Source organism: Homo sapiens, chromosome 2 (genome assembly GCF_000001405.40).
Source record: "Homo sapiens chromosome 2, GRCh38.p14 Primary Assembly".
NCBI lineage: Eukaryota > Metazoa > Chordata > Mammalia > Primates > Hominidae > Homo > Homo sapiens.
This window is the reverse complement of record NC_000002.12, coordinates 87,232,765-87,254,254: the sequence shown is the minus strand read 5'-3', so window position 1 is coordinate 87,254,254 and position 21,490 is coordinate 87,232,765. Positions and strand designations below refer to the sequence as shown.

The 21,490-nt window shown below is 46.7% G+C and overlaps 2 long non-coding RNA genes across 2 annotated transcripts, besides 1 other annotated feature; one reads left to right on the top strand and one right to left on the bottom strand.

Moving 5' to 3' along the window:
* The first annotated feature begins 263 nt into the window (after positions 1 to 263).
* On the top strand, positions 264 to 5,183 carry LINC01955 (long intergenic non-protein coding RNA 1955). The gene is made up of 2 exons (XR_940323.4): positions 264 to 679; positions 4,544 to 5,183. It is a non-coding gene; the product is annotated as a long intergenic non-protein coding RNA 1955 (long non-coding RNA).
* A 1,169-nt stretch (positions 5,184 to 6,352) lies between these two features.
* On the bottom strand, positions 6,353 to 19,042 carry LOC107985771 (uncharacterized). The gene is made up of 3 exons (XR_001739109.1): positions 18,903 to 19,042; positions 18,739 to 18,781; positions 6,353 to 7,255 (listed from the first exon to the last, which is right to left on the bottom strand). It is a non-coding gene; the product is annotated as an uncharacterized LOC107985771 (long non-coding RNA).
* Positions 17,523 to 17,710: a silencer, noted in NCBI's record as "fragment chr2:87463668-87463855 (GRCh37/hg19 assembly coordinates)". NCBI's record gives its function as "represses an EF-1alpha promoter that drives an FKBP-Casp9 reporter gene in an ReSE screen in K562 erythroleukemia cells {active_cell/tissue: K562}" and the evidence as "EXISTENCE:reporter gene assay evidence [ECO:0000049][PMID:32094911]".
* Positions 19,043 to 21,490: the final 2,448 nt, after the last annotated feature.

The following is a 21,490-nucleotide window of genomic DNA, read 5'->3' as shown; positions in this document are numbered from 1 at the left end:
GGGAAAGACGGGTATGAATATGGAGCACACTTTGAGACACAGCCACTTCCCAGGACCCTGCAGCCCTCTGAGCATCCCTCCGCCCTACTCAGAGGCATTTTTCCCATATCGAACTCCCTGGGGTTGGGGATTCTGGATCCTCCTATGTAACCACTCCTTCCTGCTTCATCTCAACATCTGTGTTGTTTGCAAAGAAAGTGGGCTCCATAAGGTCAAGGGTTGCCCCAGGTGCATTTGGGTGTTTAACAGGGTTTTGGGTGATGACTGTGTTAAAAGGAACAATATTAGAGTTTTTGACCAGAGTGACTGAGGAGCTCACAGGAGTACAGGGTGTATAAGTCCCACCAAAGATTCCATGTGCCTTGGGACTGCCCCATCCCATTGGGAATTCCAGTCTGGCTTCTTGGCAATGGGTGCCTGGGCAACAGAGCAACAGAGCAACAGAGCAAGGTGGAGGAGAGAAGCCCTCCTGGTACCCATCCCCACACCAGCAAGAGGGAGCGCCAGACTCACAGCCTACCATCCCCTCCAGCCCCAGCCCACCTGACCTACATCAGCCACCTTCTGATTGATTCTGTTTTTTCCTGGGGAAAAGGCCAAAAAGCCATCTAGGCCTCAACCCCAGCATCTCTGAACCTCTGACCCAGCCCTGGACTTCCCAATTTCAGACTTCTTTCAGGTGAGACAAGCAAACCACATGTTTTTTAAGCCTCTGCTATTCAGGTTTTCCATTGTTTGCAGCCTAACGGAGCCCTGGCTGCTCCTGTCTGGAGATGGGGCACGTGGACGAGGCCTTGGAGAGGCCAGCATCTCTCACCTCCTTTCCAGCCCACAGCTCCAGGCACGCAGACTCTTCCTGTGACTATACAGAAGTCATCTATCTTCCTAAAGCCATAACCAGACAGACCTTCTGTCAAAAGGCAGGAGAGTTGGGAACGGGCTCTTTGAGGCCACAGATGGACACTGTCATTGACCCCTCCAGGATCCTGTTCCTGACATACACCCTTGATTCAGGTCATCTGGTTATTGTGAGCTGGGTCATAAATCTTAAGGAGCTCCCTTTCTTTGCAAACAACTATACCCCAAGAATACTCCTTATTTATAAAACAATATGTATGCTGGTTCTATGGAAGGTTTTCAGTCCTCAGGGTGCTAAAATTCTTGTGCCCTTCTGCCTCTTTAACCATAGCACACATGCTCAAGAGAACTAGAGTTGCCAAGAAATCATTTCTATACATGGGCTCCAACAAACCCAGGTTATGGAGGATGGCCTATTTCCAACAAGCTTCATTTAAGGTTCTCCTACATTAAAGGAATAAATATGATGATGTGAAGCAGAACATAAATGCCTGCAGAAAGTCAGAAAATTCCCTCCTGGTGCCTCATCATCACTGGGGTGAGGGGAACAAAAGGTGGAAAAATCGATTCCACCTTCTTATTCTTGGAGAAGAAAACAACTCTCTAGACAAGAACATGGACCAGCAAACAGGGAGAGACTGATTTCAGTCAATTATTGCAGTTGCCACATTTCTCAGGAGTGTTGATGTCCAGGTCGGGGCTGACCCATGAATGGTCAGCAACACACTCAGGCCAACAAAGAAGGAGGAGGCCTGGCTGTGAATGAAGCATGCTCGACTTTAGCTCGTCATATGAGCAGGTCACAGAGAGCAGATGCCTGTGGGCGCTTAGTGAACACTGCAGGGCATGGCACTGGTACTGAAAGGGACTAAAGTTAAATGTTTATCAGAATGTTTACAGCAAACTTCCCACAGCACAGGTCAGGTGAACTCTTTCTGCCCATGCATGAGCCTTTGGACAGACAGCCCCCAAAACTATGAGTCTTTAATATTAGCCTGCATCCCTCAGTTCTGGACTTTTCCTCTGTACTGGGTTATACGTCATTCAAAATTCACCTCCAAAGGAACCTCAGCATAGATTCCTCACTCACTGTGGGACTGGACACAGCCTTTCAGGGCATCTCCAAATAGAACCAAGATAGTGAGGTAGGGGGCGGGACTCAACTCCAGAGGCTGGGCTCAGACACTGGACCAAATTGAGAGCTAGCTGAAACAGGGCCAGGGCAGAAGTAGCTTTCCATAAGACATGCCCACCAGTGTGCCATGTCAGTTTACCATCGCCGTGGCAACACCTGAGAGTTACCACCCCTTTCTATGGCAGTAACCCAATGACCCGGAAGTTACCACCTTTTTCCTAGAAATGCCTGCATCAACTGCCTTTTAACTTGCATGTAATTAAAAGTGGGTACAAATATGACTGCTGAACTGTCCCTGAGCTGCTACTCTGGGCACACTGCCTGTGGGGTAGCCCTGCTCCACAGGGAGCAGTACAGCTGCTGCTGCCTCAATAAAAGTTGCTGTCTAACACCACCACTTGTGCTTGAATTCTCTCCTGGGCAAAGCCAAGAATCCTCCTGGGCTAAGCCCCAGTTTGGGGTCTTGCCTGTCCTGCATCAGTTGCAAATGGTAAGCTGATAAGAAATGAAAATGTAAGGAAAACTCCTACATACCACCCAGGGAGAAGCCCACTCCCAGGCAGCATCAAGCCCAGAAGGAAGCAAATGGGGTTTGCAGGACTGCTTGGTGTTTGTCTGTGCAACAGCCACTGGGCCTGGTACGGGGCGAGTATGTGGGCAGAAAGAGGAGCTGGCAAGTAAGAGTTAGCTTTAAAAAGATGCTGACTCTGGGCTCCCCATTTGGCCATGGCATCAAACGCTCCTGCCAAGTAATTTGGCTCACAAATATTCACCACATGAGAATATCTGAGCATTAAAAAACAAACAAGAAAACAATCAGGAACCAAGTACCTCAGCTGGCTGGACAAAAAGGCATATGCTTACAAGCCAGGAGATGGGTGTGCAGGCTACTGAGTGTCACAAGAAGTGCAGCTTTGCCAGTTGTGACTTCTGGAACGGTCTGTGTCAAAGATTTCAAATGCTGTGTGCAGTTGGCATGTGGCTGCTAAGCTTCTAATTTTGTGACCTTTAAGATTGTACAAATGAGCAAAACCCTTTGTAGATCTTTAAAGGGAATTTTAAGCAAGGTTCAGGAGCAATACAATGGTAATTTTTTTTTTATTTTACCCAGTTAAAACAGACTTTGTCAGGCAATGTGGAGACCTCTAAATTCACATCTTCTAAGAACATGGAGAGAAGGGAGTTTGTGTCTATTTTCACAAGAAAACCACCAGCCAGTTCCATGGTGCCACTCATCCAAGCTGCCTAATTAGTGGTATCAAGCCCTCTGTCTGAAAAGACTGCCTTGGATTTATTTAGCACCCATCTTCCTATAAATGTCTCCCAAAAGTCTTGGGAGTTCATCTCCTTTGCATTTTCACCGTATCACACAGACCACCATGGCCACACATTAATGCCCCTGCCACCAGCCTCCATCATCCACCAGGGATAAGCAAGAAAACATTGATTTGGGACTTCTGCAGGGTCCTTCCTTCACATGGTGTATGCTTTGAAACTGCCACGTCCCCAATCCACCACCATGGGTGGCCTCCTTCAAAGCCCTCAGCTCTCCACAGGAAACCTCCTCCTCCAGGACACCTGTCATCAGCTCCCCAGCTGCCTTAATTTCCTTCCTCAAAACACTCTACATTGCAATCATGCGACCATGCAATTGTTCAGCATATATGTTAGTTTCCTATGACTCCTATAGCAATTACCACAAACTCAGTGGCTTCAAACAACACAAATCTATTCTCTTACAGTCCTGGTGGTCAGAAGTCCAAAATGTGTCTTTCAAGGCTGAAAGCAAGGTGTCAGAGGGTTGGCTCCTTTGGAAGGCTCCAGCAGAGAATCTGTCCCTTGCCTCTTCCAGTTTCCAGAGCTGCCAGCTTTCCTCAGTTTGTAGCTGCATCACTCCCACATTTACTTCCATAATCACATTGCCTTCTCCTATGCTGATCACCTGCCTCCTCCTTATGAAAACCCCTGTGATTACATTAGGCCAATGCAGAGTAATCTCTCCAACTCAAGATCCTGAACTTAATCACATCTACAAAGTCCATTTTGCCATATACGATAATATTCACATGTTCCAGGGATCAGGATACAGACATGGTGGGAAGGTGGTGATTACTCAGCTTAATACACAGTGTGTCTTTCCCACTAGGATGTTAGTGATCAGGGTCTTTGTGCAGCTAATTTAGTCTTTATGCTCCAGGATCCAGCACAGAGCCAGATTCACTGTTCAGAAAATGAATGAGGAAATGAACTGAAGAGTGAATGTGCAAATAGAGTTCTTCTCTCAACTCTTCTACACTTCCTTTGAACTCTTTTTTTTGAGATGGAGTCTTGCTCTGTCACCCAGGCTGGAGTGCAGTGGCACAATCTCGGCTCACTGCAAGCTCCACCTCCTGGGTTCACGTCATTCTCCTGCCTCAGCCTCCCGAATAGCTGGGACTACAGGCGCCAGCACCATGCCCACCTAATTTCTTGTATTTTTGGTGGAGACGGGGTTTCTGAACTCTTATTTATTTATTCACTTGTCTATTTCCTTTTCCTCTCTCTTCCCAGCTCCTGCTTCTTCGTCACAGGTACACCAGGGCATCCAGCACATTGATTTGTCCCCACTCGCCTTAGCCTGTCTCCTGCCACAGTTGTCTCATTTTGGTGAAGTGCGTGTCCAGGTTTCCCCGTGCTCCCAGCTGCAACATGGATCTGTGAAAGACAGTACAGCAGAAAAGTCTTCACATCCTGGCTCTCTCTGCCCTTCATTGTCTTTAAGCTCTTTAACAACTTTTACTTGGAGAGGAAAACAACTCTCTAGACAGGAACACGGAGCAGCAGAGGGAGAAATTGTGTCTTTACTGATTTCAGTCAATTATTGCAGTGACCACATGTCTCAGGAGTGTTGATGTCCAGATGAGGGCTGACCCATGAAAGGTCAGCAAGGAAAAAGGAGGACCTAAACTTTCCTCGGTTTGCAAGTTGTAAAAGACCCATGGAATGCCAACTATCCTTGTCCATGGACATGTGGACAGACTGTCCAGTGGCTATCATCAATTTTGCATCTATTTGTAAATTCTATGTCAGCATTCCTATTGTCCTAGCTATGCGTGGCATTTTTAATTCTCCTTTGGGCTGGTTGTAGCATCTTACTGGTTCCCTCATTAATTAATGAACTAAATAAAATCTTTGACATGTGTTCATTTTACATTTGTGTAAGAGTCATGATTTTACCTTTAAAAAAAAAAGTCATTTTACAGGTCTCAGGAGAGAGGCAGCTGCATCAACAAACACAAGGACTAGCTCTCCTCTAGAGAATTCACAGCTGAAGAGTGGATTAAATGCACCCTTTGCCTTTCCCACCTTTCATTCCCTTTACCGTATCTAGCAGCCAGATGGAATGCATTGCAGAAGGAACAGTGGAGGAGCATACACACACAGCACTTGCCTGGGAGGGTCCCCTAGAGCAGCTGGGATCTCTATGCCCCCACCTCCACCTTTTAATCTCATGGTTTCTTGGCCTCTTCTCTCCCTTTCACACCCATCTAGAGATGACTTGAAGAGGCTCTGGCTTCCCCTTGGCCACTCTCAGCTGTCTTCCCAACTCCCGCCTGATCTTCACACTGGCAGTTATTGTCTTCTCAATCCTACACAAAGTCTATGCCAGCACAGCCTCCCAGCCCACTTCCCACTCCAACAGCCATCACACGAAGACATTCTGGAGTTATCACTCCATCCATGAGGAGCTGCCTACCAGTCCTTAGAAAGAAAGGGAAAGTCTGCTTCCAAACATGAGAAGGGGTTAGACCAAGGGCTACCTCCTGGCCAGGTGATGGAGGACTGGAGAAGCCAGATTAAGCCAGATTTCTGCCAATCCAAGCAAAAGGCAGGTGGCCAAGCAGCTGCAGGGAAGAAAATGTGTTTTTTCCTCACCCATTACGAGGGTCATAGCTGAGGCACCTATGGCAAAATACAGATTAACAAGAGAAACATCAAACTTATTTAATTTAAATTTTATGTAACATAAGACACCTCAGGAAAAAAGATCCAAAGAGGCTGGGCACAGTGGCTCATGCATGCAATCCCAGCACTTTAGGAGACTGAGGCAGGTGGATCACGTGAGGTCAGGAATTTGAGACCAGCCTGGCCAACATGGTGAAACACCGTCTCTACAAAAATTTAAAAATTAGCCGGGTATGATGGCGGGCACCTGTAATCCCAGCTACTCGGGAGGCTATGGTGGGAGAATTGCTGGAGCCCAGAAGGCAGAGGTTGCAGCGAGCCAAGATCACGCCATTGCACTCCAGCCTGGGTGACAGAACAAGACTCCATCTTAAAAAAAAAAAAAGAAAGAAAGAAAGAAAGAAAAAGATAAAGAAATAGGGAATAGGGACACCTGTGTGTTTTTATTGTAAGTTTGATGGAGAAGTCGACAGTAGTGGAGAAGTGTGATTGGACAAAGGGAGTATGATCTAATTAGTTATATACAAGGGGGAACTCAGCAAGGCCTGTTTGTTCAGCTTTTCTTCTGCGTCCCTGTGTCTTCAGAGATAAAGATGTTCCTCCCCTCCAGGTAAAGAGTGGGCACCTCTCACACAAGGACCTTATGCCTTGCTCCAGGAGAAAGTCAGCTTGGTTTCATGGCCTGCTTCAGGAAAAGAAGGGCAAGGAGAAGGTGAGAGAGGCCTTCCTGCTTCTGCCGTTTTCTCCAATGCCAATCTGCCATATTTTGGGGTAGTATTCCCTGAACCCCACCACAGCCTCAGAGAGTGGGGCTTTGCCCAAGGGTGAGTTGCAGCACTCTGCCAGGTGTTTCAAACAGCAGAGGTTAGTTACGGGGTATTGATTCAAAATAGCTACCACGCATGAGCTTGTCACCCTGCACCAACTCATCCTGTGCAGTTACCACTACTGTTAACTCTGACCTAGGATTTGTAGTTCATTCGGGATGTCATGCATGCTTCAGATCTCAGGCCCTAGTGACCTCACCTATAAATTTGGGGTGGGCAGTGATAGGCCTGGATGACCCTCAGTGGCCCTTCTAGCACAAAAATTTCTCAAGTCAGAAGAACAAAACCCTGTACTTCTACTCTCCCTGGGACAGTGGCACCAAATATACCATAAGTGTTCATCTTTCCGGTGGAGTTCATACGTGTAGTGTTGTGTTTACTTTACTGACTGTAAACAGAACAGGTGCCTGTCATTCACTCACCCATTCCTTCCGTCTGGATACAGGGCAGCAGAAATCAGCAGAATGCTTTTATTCACAGAGCTGAATGCCTACACCAGAAAACAAACATTAAGCAAATAGTGGCAGAAATAATTTTTTTTTTTAGACGAAGTCTCACTCTGTCACCCAGGCTGGAGTGCAGTGGGACGATCTTGGCTAACTGCAGCCTCCACCTCCCAGACTCAAGTGATCCTTCCACCTTGGCCTCCCAGGTAGCTGAGATTACAGGCACGCACCACTATACCCAACTGATTTTTGTATTTTTAGTAGAGATGGGGTTTCACCATGTTGTCCAGGCTGGTCTTGAACTCCTGACCTCAAGAAATCCACCTGCCTCGGCCTCCCAAAGTGCTGGGTTACAGGCATGAGCCACCGCGCCCAACCACAAATACATTTTAAATTGCATTTATGATCACTTCTTTGGATGAGAGGCTGGTCCTAAGGGAATGTATAATGAGTGTTTGACTTAAACATGGGGTCAGGGAAGTCTTCCCTGAGGAGGAGTAAATGGGTTTAGGAGATAGTTCAGGCTTTCACCATTAAGCATGATGCAACCTGCAGGAATTTTGTAAATGCCTTTATTATTTTAAGGAAGTTTCCTACTGTTCCTAGTTTGCTGAGAGTTTTTACCATGAATGGATATTGAATTTTGATAAATGCTTTTTTGCATTCCTTGAAAAAGATTTTATTATTGTAATCCTTCATTCCATTAATAGAGTAAATTACATTGATTGTCTCCCACAGAGACACTAGAATGGGCAAGCCTGAGTGCGTGGCTTTGAGGGACAGAGTCCCCACCCACGGAGCTCTCACAGCTGGCAGCCACCCCGACACCCACAGCTCTTTCAGAATGGAAAGCCCGGGGCCTTGCAGCTCGCCCTGCTCCGAACACTGTGCGAGGCTTTGTAATGAGCTACCCTGGAAGTGTTTTTCAAGAAGACGGTGATCTCATTACACAAATCCACCATCAGTTGAGGGAAGAGAGGCAGGGCTGGCTTTCTAAGGCCACTGTGTATGACCTAAGGAGCCCACATTGCCAAAAAAATAGTCACCCACTGATTTCAAACACCCACTTCTTTGCATGAAGGGCTGCGTTCCCCTCATCACCACCCCCACCCTTTTCATCCCTGATACAGCTACCTCCAGCCATTCCCCCTAGGGGTCTTCCCTGGGACTCATCTGCCACTTGTTCCTCCTCAGCTGGGGTCACCAACCAAGTTGGGAACAAGTTATTCCTCCTTAATAACAAGAGGCAAAGCCCTATCCAAAAACAGGGGTCTGCCTTATTCACTAAATCCAGTTTTCAAAAAAAGACCCTCATCGGACTCATTTATAAATGATTTAATTTTAGGGATTGCTAGCTAGATGAGTAGATAGGAAGGATAAGAAGCTAAGTAGGGGAGAAGAATGTGCAAGAATAAGGTGAAAGAATGTTCTCCATTCACAATGCTGTTTACATGCATCCAGCTGGCTGGCAACGCCGCTGAGCACTCAGCCTTCAGTGGACCTTCCAAACCATGGCAGGCACTCGGAGTCCACAGGGACGCAAAGGACCGTGCTCTACCTCTCAGTAGGCTGTGTAGGCCAACCACTCTGGAATCCACAGGCACCAGTCACCAGCCCCACCCTCACCTTCGAGCCAGGCCCCTGTGGTCACCGTCTCATGGTGATGGCAAAAAGCTCCTCTTTTGCTCCCTGTGAACCCCTGCCCCCTCTTTGGTGTGGCTGGGGGCAGGAGGGAGGCCCTCACTGTGCTCTGGCCTCAGGGTAGAGTAGCCACAAGACAATCACCCTGTCAAACTTCAGCGGAGTTCCCGTGTGCTCTTCTGGTAAAAGGGCTTCTTTGTAGCATTGAGCTGTATATGCAACGTATCCTCTTGTGTGTGAGTGTGCATGTGTATGAGTGTGTGTGTGCCTGCGTGTGTGTGTATGTGTGTTAGAGATACACACATATAGGCCCCAGGAAGGAGTGAGGAAGGGGAAAGAAACCAGCATTTATTGCACTATGTATAAATTTTCAAAATTCATCCGTGACTAACACAAGAAGCTGTGTCCCACCTGAACAGGTAAACTTGCGTAGTTATTTCAGAACAGCAGCCCCATCTCCATCCCAATCAGGGTAATATTTTCCACTGAACTGAGTCAATAAGGTAAACAAACCCATTTGCCCAAGAGGCAAACAACAAGGTAGGTTAGAAACATAGCTTTCTGGATACTGCTCCTAGTGAAAGCATCTGGCAAAAAAAAAAAAGAAGAAGAAGAAAAAAGCATTTCAAATGAAACCCAGGGGACAAATACCTTTAAAAGTTGCAAAGGAGAAAGGCGTCTACACAAAGCAGCATGTTCCAGGATTCCCCATTATTTCAGGACAGACCCATTCAAGGATCAGAGTGGGTCTGTGAACTCAGAGTGACCGTGCCTCACCCCGCCTGGCCCAGCTCTCTCTGAGTGCAGTCACAGGCCTTCCCCACCAGAAAAATCCATCAGCTCCTCTTCAGGCTTCACTCGGGGCACTGACTTCAGCTATCGTCCAGCCATGTAGCTTCAGAGACACAGAAACTTAAAGCTCACTGACCTACAGTATAACCCAAAACCTTCTTGGTTCAATTTTTCTTACCAATGTTTTTTAATGTTCAATTAATGATTTTAGAAAGAAATGAACCACTTTATTTTGAGACTGAGTCTAGTTCTGTCACCAGGCTGGAGTGAAGTGGCAGGATCTTGGCTCACTACAACCTCTGCCTCCTGGGTTGAAACAATTCTCCTGCCTCAGCCTCCCAAGTAGCAGGGACTACAGGCACACGCCACCATGCCCAGCAAATTTTTTTGTATTTTTAGTAGAGATGGGGTTTCACCATGTTGGCCAGGATGGTCTCAATCTCTGGACCTCAGGTGATACGCCCACCTCAGCCTCCCAAAGTGCTGGGATTACAGGCGTGAGCCACCGTGCCTGGTCCATGAACCACTTTTAAAGCTTCTTAGAACAGAAAGTTATTTTAACTTTGGACCTAAGGAAATGCAAAATGAGGCCATTTCTAGAATGCTGTACCCCTATCCTCCCCCATCACACACATCTCAAAAATAAAAGGAAAACCCTAGTTGTGATGTAGTCTCCATGACTAAAGCAACCACAGATTTCTCCATTCAGAATAATGGTGCTACTTAAAGCGGCTTCTTCTAGTATGACATCGAAAGCACATAGAGTAATCTTCTATTATTTCCAACTTTGGATAACATTTTCCCTTATTTCTTCCATTTCTTTCCCCTATTTGTCTGCAAATCCGTAGGATGTAACTAAGGAGGTAAGTTTTTCAGATTGGCCCTAAGGAAAAAACTAAGTCCCACAGGAATAAGCAGTTGTTTGCAACCTCAGTGTAAATTACATGCAAAGCAAGAGCTGGAGCGGAATCAGGGGCACCTACCACAGGGAAGTCAAGGGCATGTGGTATACCAGGTAAACCAGGCCTCTGCCCCGCACCTCGCAGCAGCTTTGCTGAGACCGGAACTGACGTCTCCTGATTCCCAACCAGCACCTCAGCTCCACAGACAAACCGCAAGACTGAGTACAGAGCCCCCCAGACAAAGGTGGAGAATGTGTCCTTGCAGAGCAAACCCCCAGTCTTAATTACAGACCTGGCAGGGTGCCGGCCAGGACGGATTGCTGGATCACATCAGTAAGACAACTTACAATTCGCATTTGTAAGACAACTTTTTCTCTAATAAATTGTCTTTAAATAAATTTATTAAGAGAAAACAGGAAGTGAATAAGCAAAGAGAAATAGCTGGTCTAACTTGAATTGGCAGAATGGTAGAATGGTATTCTCTCCTTACCTTTTGAACAGTCTTTCCTGAGAAATGCATGCTAATAAAATAGAAATTGGTGGGAGGAGTAGGTTATGTCTTTTGTATACATTCTATGGTACTTGACATCATTTTGTAGGTTTGGGTTTATATAGCTAACACAGGAGACTTTTTATCTCCTCCATCAAAACATCATTTTCAAAATATTAGGAACTTGGCTCTCATACCCTCATACAGGTAGCAAGCACAATTCTTTAACTCATTACTGAGGGAACCCATAGGATGGAAAAGCTGATTCTCAAAGCATTTGAGGAACACAGATGTATCGTATGTCAGAAAGAATGCTGAAAAAAGTTTGCTAAGTTACATACAAAACTGGTTAATGTTCTATGGCACAATACAACTGTAATGTTTGGGTAATCTTTTGAACCTGAAGGAAATCGATCACGCTTGGCCGATTTAAACATAAAAGAGCTGGCTGGATGCGGTGGCTCATGTCTATAATCCCAGCACTTTGGGAGGCCAAAGTGGGTGGATTGCTTGAACTCAGGAATTCAAGACCAACCTGGGCAACATAACAGAACCCCACCTCTACTAAAAATACAAAAATTAGCCAGGCGTGGTGGTGCACACCAGTGGTCCCAGCTACTTGGGAGGCTGAGGCAGGAGAATCACTTGAACCCGGAAGGCAGAGGTTGCAATGAGCTGAGATCATGCCACTGCACTCTAGCCTGGGTGACAGAATGAGAGAGAGAGAGAGACAGAGACAGAATGAGACAGAGACAGAATGAGAGAGAGAGAGAGAGAGACAGAGAGACAGACAGACAGAAAGAAAGACAGAAAGAAAGAAAGAAAGAAAGAAAGAAAGAAAGAAAGAAAGAAAGAAAGAAGGAAGGAAGGAAGGAAGGAAGGAAAGAAGAAAGAAAGAAAGAAAGAAAGAAAGAAAGAAAGAAAGAAAGAAAGAAAGAAAGAAAGGAAGGAAAGAAAGAAAGAAGAAAGAAAGAAAGAAAGAAAGAAAGAAAGAAAGAAAGAAAGAAGGAAGGAAGGAAGGAAGGAAGGAAAGAAAGAAAGAAGAAAGAAAGAAAGAAAGAGAGAAAAGAAAAGAAAGAGAGAATGAGGGAGGGAGGGAGGGGAAGGGGAGGGGAGGGGAGGGGAGGGGAGGGAAGGGAAGGGAAGGGAAGGGAAGGGAAGGGAAGGGAAGGGAAGGGAAGGGAAGGGAAGGGAAGGGAAGGGAAGGGAATCATTTGCATCTGTACTGGACAAAATTGTATCCAGCTTATCTCCCACAAGTTGACAGGCAGCCAGTTACTAGTAAACAGTATGTGAAGCAAAGTTACATTCTCCTTGAGATTTAAATAATCCTTGAGTGGATCTAATAGACAATGCTCTGATCTGGACTTTAAAGGACATAGAGTCATCCTCTTTCCTTATTTCCAAGTTTTGGATAATTTTTCTGAACACCTCTTAGGCTCCTTGCTGGCAAGGCAGCTTCTAGGAAGTCCATGATAATGCCTGAGCTATAGCTTCACGACCAGAACTGGTGTGAACCTAAACACACAGATAGCAGACAAGCAAAGCACAGATTTACTATGTAGTGCCATGAAAATGATCTATGTATTTAAAAATCAGCAGAATATTAAATTACTCATTTCAAATGGCCATGTACAACTGACAGCAAAATGTAAAGAAATTCAAACACCCAGGTACAAACTGGTACCTTTGTACATCTTTACATTTTATCCGTCATTGTTTTTTTCCCACTTAGCTTTAAAGAGAAAGTTCAACTTTTTCTCTAAAGGTCAGCCTGCAACCTCAGGCTTAGCCATTTGGGTTACGGTTACAGAATAAGAGTTAAGGAATTGGAGCAGGGCCTGGGATCATGGAACAAGGGACTGGCATGGGAGTTGACTGGACCCCAGGAGAAATCTGAAAACCTATGGTTAAAGCATATCCTGAGTCTGGAGTACAGCTCTTATAACGAGTCATCCAAGGCACTGCCAGTCAAGCATCCCTGTCCTGCAACAACCGAGCTAGAGGCCTCTCCCTCAGTCATCCTTCCTTTGCATTTCTGTGGCCGCCCCTCTACTCCATGCCTTCATCATGCCATGTCACTATTACCACCGTAGAATCCAATCCTCCCATGCCAGTCCCTCCAAACACCTCCAAACACACAGTGAATCACAGCATAATTCATTTCATTTATTCAGCAAATACTGAACAGCTTCCAAATGCCAGCACTGTTCTAGGACCTGGGGATAATCGGAAAATAAGATGAAGTTCTTTACTCTTACATATTTCCATAAAAGCAAGGGGATTCCCACAAAAGTGATGTCAAGTGGTAATAAGTAAAAAACGAGCAAACAACAACAACAAAAACTCAAGCAAGTTTAGTTAAGGGGTCAAGAATGATGAAAAGGTAGGTTTCTGTTTTACTCAAAGTGACTGAAAAAGCCTCTCTGATAAGGGACTTGGAGGGAATGAAACAGCTGGCTGTGAAGATGTGGGAAGGAGAGTGTTCTGGGTAGGGAAAGCAGCTGGTGCCAAGGCTCTGGGGCAGGTGCATGCTGCTCGTGAAGGAGTGCCTGGGAGTCTGGTGAAGGAGGAGAATGGGGTGGAGTAAACTAAGTCAGAGATGAGGATACAGAGGCACCACAGGCCACGCAGAGCTGTGACGGAAAGGACTGTGAATGTCATTCTGAAGGAAACGGGAAACGATTTGATGGTTTTGAGCAGGACAGTGAAATGACCTGAGTTGTTCTTAAAGGCTACAGAGAATAGACAGTGTGGAGCAAGGGGAGAAGCAGGGAGTCCCACAGGGCAGCACTTGCTGGGGTCCAGACCAGGTGCAATGTGACTGTGAGTGCTGGAGTGGGGACAAGGGGCTGGATTCTGGATGTATTTCAAGGGGAGAGTCAACAGGATGGCCACAGGTCAGGTGTCAGGTGTGAGAGGAAAAAGACATCGATGATGACTCCGAGGCTGTCGCCCTGAGTAACTGGAAGAACAGAATGGCTTTTTCCTGTGATGGGGTCAGTAGGGGCTGGAGGAAGAGCATGCTGGAAAGGGATGTGGATAAAGAGTTCAGGCTGGTGTATGTTGAATTGGAAATGCCTAAGAGAGAAGCAGAAGAAGATGGATGTAGACGGTGACTATTTCCACCCCCAGGTCCCAGACTGGAGACACACTGAACAGTGGAGAGCCTGTGTGGGTATCTGACATGTTCACACACACACACACCCCACACACACAGTGGGTAGTGCATGTGCCTGACATTCTGAGGGCTGACAGACATAGAGGCATCTGCTGGCAGGCAGACAGAAGCCTGCAGAAGGAATCTAAGGCAGACACAGCACTCGCCTCAACAGTGAGGAGAGAGAGAGGAGGAGGGCTTGCAGGGAGGCTGGAGTCCTCTAGTGTATGTGTCTAAAACAAGGCTTCATGCGCTCACCTCAAGAACCATCCCAGATGCCCTGGGTCCAAGCGCTTTGGGCTGATCTCTGTGGGGCCGTGTCTGGTCATCCGTCTGCCTCCCAAGCCCACTTGCCAGTGCCTCAACAGGACAGCCTTCAGCCAGGCCAGGCCCAAGGCTCTCGGCCCATCCATACCCCTGCATACCTGGGCTCACTCCTCCAACCCCTCCACTCTGCTGACACACTCCCACTACAAGACCCTGGTCCACAGAGCCCTCCGTGATAGCTCCTTGGCCAGGCCAAGCTTTGAACCTTTACTGCTGACTGGCAGCTATCAGCTGTGGTTCTCTAACAGAGTTCTTTCTTCCGGGTCCTGGCATCCCTCGTGCTTGGCACAGTACCCTGCACAGAGTGGGCATTCAGTAGAAATTTGCTGGTGAGAGCTGCATGAGCAAGGAGAAGGCCACCCATCATGCCACCCTTGGTGACCAAAGCCTCTGGGTGGCCTTCAGTCTGCAGCCAGCTTGAAGCAAGCCTGCCACAGGTGAGCCTTCACCTTCTCAGGCAGCACTTGCCTGCTTCTCTCATGAGAGAAAACAAAAACAAAAACAAAAAAACACAGACTTTGTCCTTCTACGTGATGACTTTCCGCTCTGTTTGGCCACACTGAAGTTGGAAGAGAAAAAGATGAAGCTCACCTGGGGCCCGATCCCTCATCCCCTGGGACCATCCTTTCCAATCAGAAGATGTGCCCCCTCTCAGATGAAAGGGCCTTTCTCTAACTGTAAATTATTTCTAAATTGTATATCCTGTCCAATGTGTTTCAACATTCAAAGAAAATACGTCTCCCACAATTATAGTCATTTTGTAACTAAAGCCCGCAGTTTCCCAGCTCCCTCCAAACCTACTTATTTTAAAACAGAAAAATACTGCCGTTTCCCATCATGTTCTTTATTGAGTAATCCAGTGTGTACAGTAGGCCACTCTATTCTCTGGATTATTCTAGGAATACCAGATTAAAGACAAATTAGGTAATATTGCAGGCTGCTCCCTTGCAGACATTTCGAGAGCTGGATTTTAAGGGAGGTGAAGGCCCGCCAGTGTGCACACCGCAGTTGGCAGGGACCTTGTCGCTGCAACCAGCAGGGGTGAAAGGAAGAGAAAAGAAGTGAAAGATGAAGAGAAGCTGACCTCAAGGGAGACTTGGCGCTGAAGGTCAGAGGCCTGTGTGCCCACTGGGTGGAGGGGATGAGGCCTCAAAGGGTCTTTCAATACTAACACGGGATCCCTAAACCTTTTCAGAAAACAAGCTGTAGTCCATACGTTTACTCTGTGACATTTTCTAGTGTCTAGTCACTTCTCTAAATGAAAAAATAGAGACCCTCCCTCCCCCAAAACACAGCTTAGATGGAGTGAACCTCACCTAAACTTGGCCCTGGACCTAGTGATTAGTAAATGACACTGGCTGAATCCCACAAATCCCATGATCTGGGGATACAATGGGACACACAGGCATGAGTCCATGCCTGCCATGAGATACATCAAGTTGACAAAGCTGGCTCTTGAGGAAGAGGTTAAAGGACTCTAAGAGAAGCAGCCATAATGCACTTCCAATGGTATGGAAACACTGTGGGCAAATGTATTCCAGGATTTGTGACTCAGGCACCAAAAACCAGATGCCCCCAGCACATCCAAAGGGTGTGTCAGTTCTAAAACCCTCGCAAGAAGCTCTAGCCCAAGGCCAAGTCAGCAAGTGTTTGACACTCCCATGCTGTTTCTTTCAATTGCGAGTCGGTTTTCACCAGGTGTGAAACATGGAGCCATTGACTCTAAGCCAAGTATTCAGCAGAAACCTTCCTTAGCCTCAGACACTTGTCATCTTGGATTTAAACTTGACCCCGCCTGCCCCTAACGCACGTGGGACAAAGGTCAGGAAACGAAACAGTTCAGCATGCCGTAAATGTCTCCATGATTAATCACTTTCCACCCGATTTGACAACCACAGATATTTTTTCCTCTCGCCTTCAGGCATTATCTCAACACAGGATGAACTCGAAACTGCCATTAGAGGCACACATGCGAACCTGATTCAGAGGACACGCAGAAGACCTGACTCACATGCATCGTGGCGGATGTATCTGCTTTCCTCAGGAGGAGGATAATGCAAACTCTTCTGCAAAACCCAGAGTTCAAAACTAGAGTCATCTCATCCATAGACATGGTATCATCTTTTGCCTAAAAGCCAAGTAACTTAATTACATGTGGGAGGCAATAAAATGTCTCTAAAACCATTGCACAGATAGATATCCATGGATTTCAGGAAGGCCAGTTATATGCTCTAGGCTAAAAGTGTTGATTTTGAATACAAATGGTATAGCCACCTTGGAAAACAGTTTTGCAGTATCTTACAAAGTTTTAACATATGTCTATCCTGTGACCTAGCAAACCCACTCCTGAATATGAACCAAAGAGAAATGAAAATAGAACTCCCCACAAAGTCCTGTACATTAATGTTTATAGCAACTTTATTCCTAATTGCCCAAAACTGGAAACAACTCGAATATTCACCAACTGGTAAATGAAAAACCAAATTGTGCTACCTCTGTACAATGCATTACTACTCAGTAATAAAGAGAAATCACACAGTGACACGGACAAGGCTCCAAAATATGCTGAATGCAAGAAGCCAGACATAAAAGAGTACACACTTCTTGATTCCATTAACATGAAAGACTAGAAAGGCAAAACTAGACTCACAGACTGGTTGCTGAGGCCAAAGGGAGGGGAGAAACTGCAAAGAGGCTTGAGGGAACTATTGGGGGTGATGAAGTGTTCTGTATCTCATTGTCGGGTGGTTATACAAATGCATACAGTTACCAAAATTCATTGTGTGCACTTAAAATAGGTAAATTTTATCTTTTTTTTTTTTTTTTTTTTTTTTTTGGAGACGCAGTTTCGCTCGCACTTGTCACCCAGGCTGGAGTGCAATGGCGCTATCTCGGCTCACTGCAACCTCTGCCTCCCGGCTTCAAGCAATTCTCCTGCCTCAGCCTCCCAAGTAGCTGGGATTACAGGCACGTGCCACCACGCCCGGCTAATTTTTGTATTTTTAATAGAGACAGGGTTTTGTGTGGGGCTGGTCTCAAACTCCCGACCTCAGGTGATCCACCCACCTCGACCTCCCAAAGTGCTAGAAATACAGGTGTGAGCCACCTAGCCCAGCCGTAAATTTTATCTTATATAAATTATATCTCAATATTTTCAAAAGGGCCCACCTCCTTACTCCGAAAAATCAGTCTATAGGCCTCAGCCCTGTCCTTTAACTTACTTTCAGTCTACACCTTTGTTCCTGCAGTACGCTGTGGTTACCTGGAACAGGGGGCTGGGAGGGAGACCCTGATGTTCTGTTCCTTCTAGAAGAGGGTGGTCCATGGCAGGATGATAACACACCCTCAGTGAGCCAGAATGAGCACAGCCTGGCCACCAGTGCATCCCGGAATAAGCAAACACACATAAAAGATTTTACCTCATAGATGATGCACTCTATCACCCACAAAACATAAGCCCCCAAAGACAATGGGGTGAGTGCAAGGTGATTACTCCAAGGTGAAGCAAACATGGAGCAGGGTGTTACGGGTGCCCGGAGAGAGGCACAGGCCTCGAGGATCAACCCTGTGTGTTCCTGGACTATGAAAGGAAGGTCCATGTGAGCTCTAGAAATTTGTGAGAAATTACACAAAGGATCCGAGGAGTAGGAGCCGGGAGCATCTGCCCCAGGGAGGCATTCAAAGGTGAGAGGCAGAGGGACAGGAACACGGCAAATGTGAGTGCAGAGACCCCTCAACCCTGTAAGGTCTGGCCAGATTCCACAGGATCAAAATTCTCCCTTGCTGTTTCACTCGAACACAAACCACGAAGCTTCTTCTTATTTAGAGAACAAACAATGAAGGTTGGCTTTGTTATTTTTGCAAATTTACACATGCACGGAGCCTGGGAAAATTCTTGAGCAAGAGCATGAGGTGTGGACAGTGGTGTTTGCAGGTCACCACACTGACCACACACCCGTCCACTGCCTGGTTCTCCTGGCAAGGTTTTGGGCAAACACAGGAGAACCAGTGCCACCGCATTACATGCCAACCGTTCAGACCAATTTCTGTGAAATAACAAAGAAATCATCACAGGTTCTCTTGAAGCCCAAACCCTGAATAATACCAACAATACCACAATAGCCCCCAAATTAAAGGCTGCAGCTGCCCGGCATGAAAGGGCTGCAGGGCACCCCGGCCATGGTCCTCAGTCTCTGCTGAGCATTGCCCACATACCTGGTTTTAAAAGCCACAGGGAGGTGCTGGGCCTTTGCAACTCCTGTAAATTCACAAGAAAAGAGAGAAAGGTCACTAATGCTCCAACTCAGCAAAGAATATACAACTTTTGCATTTCCCAGGGTTCCTTGTCAAATGACCTGGCCCCATTTTTTGCTCCTTACCATTTTTCTTGTTCCTTAGCCCCTCCATAAGAAGAACAGATGATTATGTCCTGCTCTAGGTCCCTTAACAGAAGAAGAGCTGCAAGAAGGGAAAAGATTTAAGCTCTGGGATAAAGTGTGCAGGGTTGTATAGGCCGTGAGTAGCAGAGCTGGGCCTGCATGCAGTCTTTCCTCTCTCTACATGGCAGCAAAGGAGGATTCTACATCTCCAAGCCCTCCCTGCAGCCCACACCTGCAGATATAATGAGTTTGTATTTTAAATCTCCTGCCCTAAAGCTGAGCTTTAGTCAGGGGTCAGGTGAACAGAATTAGGGATGCATGTTGTGTGGGAAGCCATGATTAAAAGGAATATGCCCTTGAGACCCCCGGGGCTGCTGTGGACTGCAATCCCCCCACAGCCTTCCTGTGCCCTTAGCCTCAGCCTCCGTTTTCCCATCTGTAAAGTGGGTGTTCTGCGTGTTGTAAACAATGAATGCTATGAAATCAGTGCAAGGCAAGCTACAAATTGTTAGCCAAGATTATTGTACGAAACTTCAAACTGTTAGCCAAGATTACTACTCGGACAAACTTACCAAAGTTATTAGCTTCCATTTAATTAAAAGCCATTACCTCAAATAGCCCATTCATCTTTATTAACCAACAAACATCTCAAAGCTTGTAATACTCAGTTAATTATGTGATTTTTTAAATAATAAAATTGGAATTCTCCTGCTCTTGAATAAGTTGTACCTGCCTCTGGGCAGCCAGGCTGTTAGCTGAGTGCAAGAATAAAATAGAAATCTGGGCAGGAGGTCGGGCACAGTGGCTCACGCCTGTAATCCCAGGACTTTGGGAGGCCGAGGTGGGCACATCACCTGAGGTCAGGAGTTCCAGACCAGCCTGGCCAACATGGGGAAACCCCATCTCTACTAAAAATACAAAAATTAGCTGGGTGTGGTGGCGGGCACCTATAGTCCCAGCTACTTGGGAGGCTGAAGCAGGAGAATCACTTGAACCTGGGAAGCAGAGGTTGCAGTGAGCCAAGATCGCACCACTGCACTGCAGCCTGGGTGACAGAGTGAGACTCCGTTTCAAAAAAAAATTTGGGCAGCTCCTGGGTAGGGACTTATCCCTTTGCCAGGGAGTGACTTTATTTGGAATAATATTCAGTCACAGGAATCTTCTGGGATGTCACCAGACCATTGCTTTGAAGAGTAGACAGCCTCAGACCCTCTGGGGACAGGAGCAAGGCAGGCTGATTTATTAACCACATGGCGTCACCCTCTTGCCCCAGAGGTTAGATGGTTCCAGGATCCTCCGTCACCAAGACTAGATCCCAGAACTAGAGCCTTGCAGCTGGACCACTCCCCTCTCTCCGTGGCAGGGAACATGTCCACCAGCCCAGTGGCTGCCACTGGTAGCTGTTGGCTAAATGCAGGTGGGTGAGAGACAAACCCTGCCTGCTCACTTGCCCTAACCTGCTCCTCTCTGCCTAAACTTGGGCTTCACAACACTCTTCTCTCAACTTGTACTGAGCAAGTGGCTAGTGGAGAAAGAAAGTATCTTAGCCTGTAACAGAATACCACATACAGGTGGTTTATTTTAAAAAGAAAACAAAAAAAATTATTTCTTACAGCTCTGAAGGCTGGGAAGTCCAAGGTCAAGGAGACTGCATCTGGCAAGGACTTTCTTGCTGTGTCATCCCATGGGGGAAGGTAGAAGGACAAAAGAGCAGGAGGGAGCAATAGAGAAAGGGGACTGAACTTATCCATTAATCAAGAAACCACTCCCTCAATGATTAACCCACTCCTAAGGTAACACTATTAATCCATTGATGATGGCAGAGCCCTCATGACCTAATCACCTCCTGAAGGTCCCCCATCCAAACACTGTTGGTGTTGTGAATTAGGTTTCCAACACACGAACTTTGGACACACTCAAACCACAGCAGTGGGTGAACACTAAAGAGCACCTACACTATTCCTGACACTTGTATTTACATCATCCACTCATTTAAACCTCCCAACAGCTCTGAGCTAGCTCTCACTACCCTCATTTAGTATATGAGGAAGCTGAGGCACAGAGAAAGGAAGGAGCTTGCCCAAGGACGCAGAGCAAATTAGTGACCAGCCTGGGACTCAGACGCTGGTCTGCCTGAGCACATCCCACCAGCCGCCTACCTGGCCATTACGCACTTGACCACTCACCAAGAAGCTTGTCACACCGTGAGCCCTGTGTCTCTCTCCCCACCATTCTCAGCTCTCTGCCTTCTGCTGACTTGCATCTGCCATATAACCTCTCTCTTCAGAGATGCTCGAGAGTTTTTTTTTTTTTTTAAATAAGTGAATCTGGGAATAAAAGGCCGGCCCACAACAATGTATGGCAGTTAAACAACTTCAAGAGAATGTTTTGGAGGTAACCAAAGGATATTGCGGGCAGACATTTCTGGAGACCCCTGTCCTTTGGATAAATGTGGGTGCGCCATGTCCCCGGCAATGTAATGGAATATTTGAAGGCCAGACTGAGGATCTAGAACTTCCCACCCTCCTACCCCCACTCTGAGGAGTGTCTTGGCGAGGGGGGCTCCTGGGACCATCTAACCTCTAGGG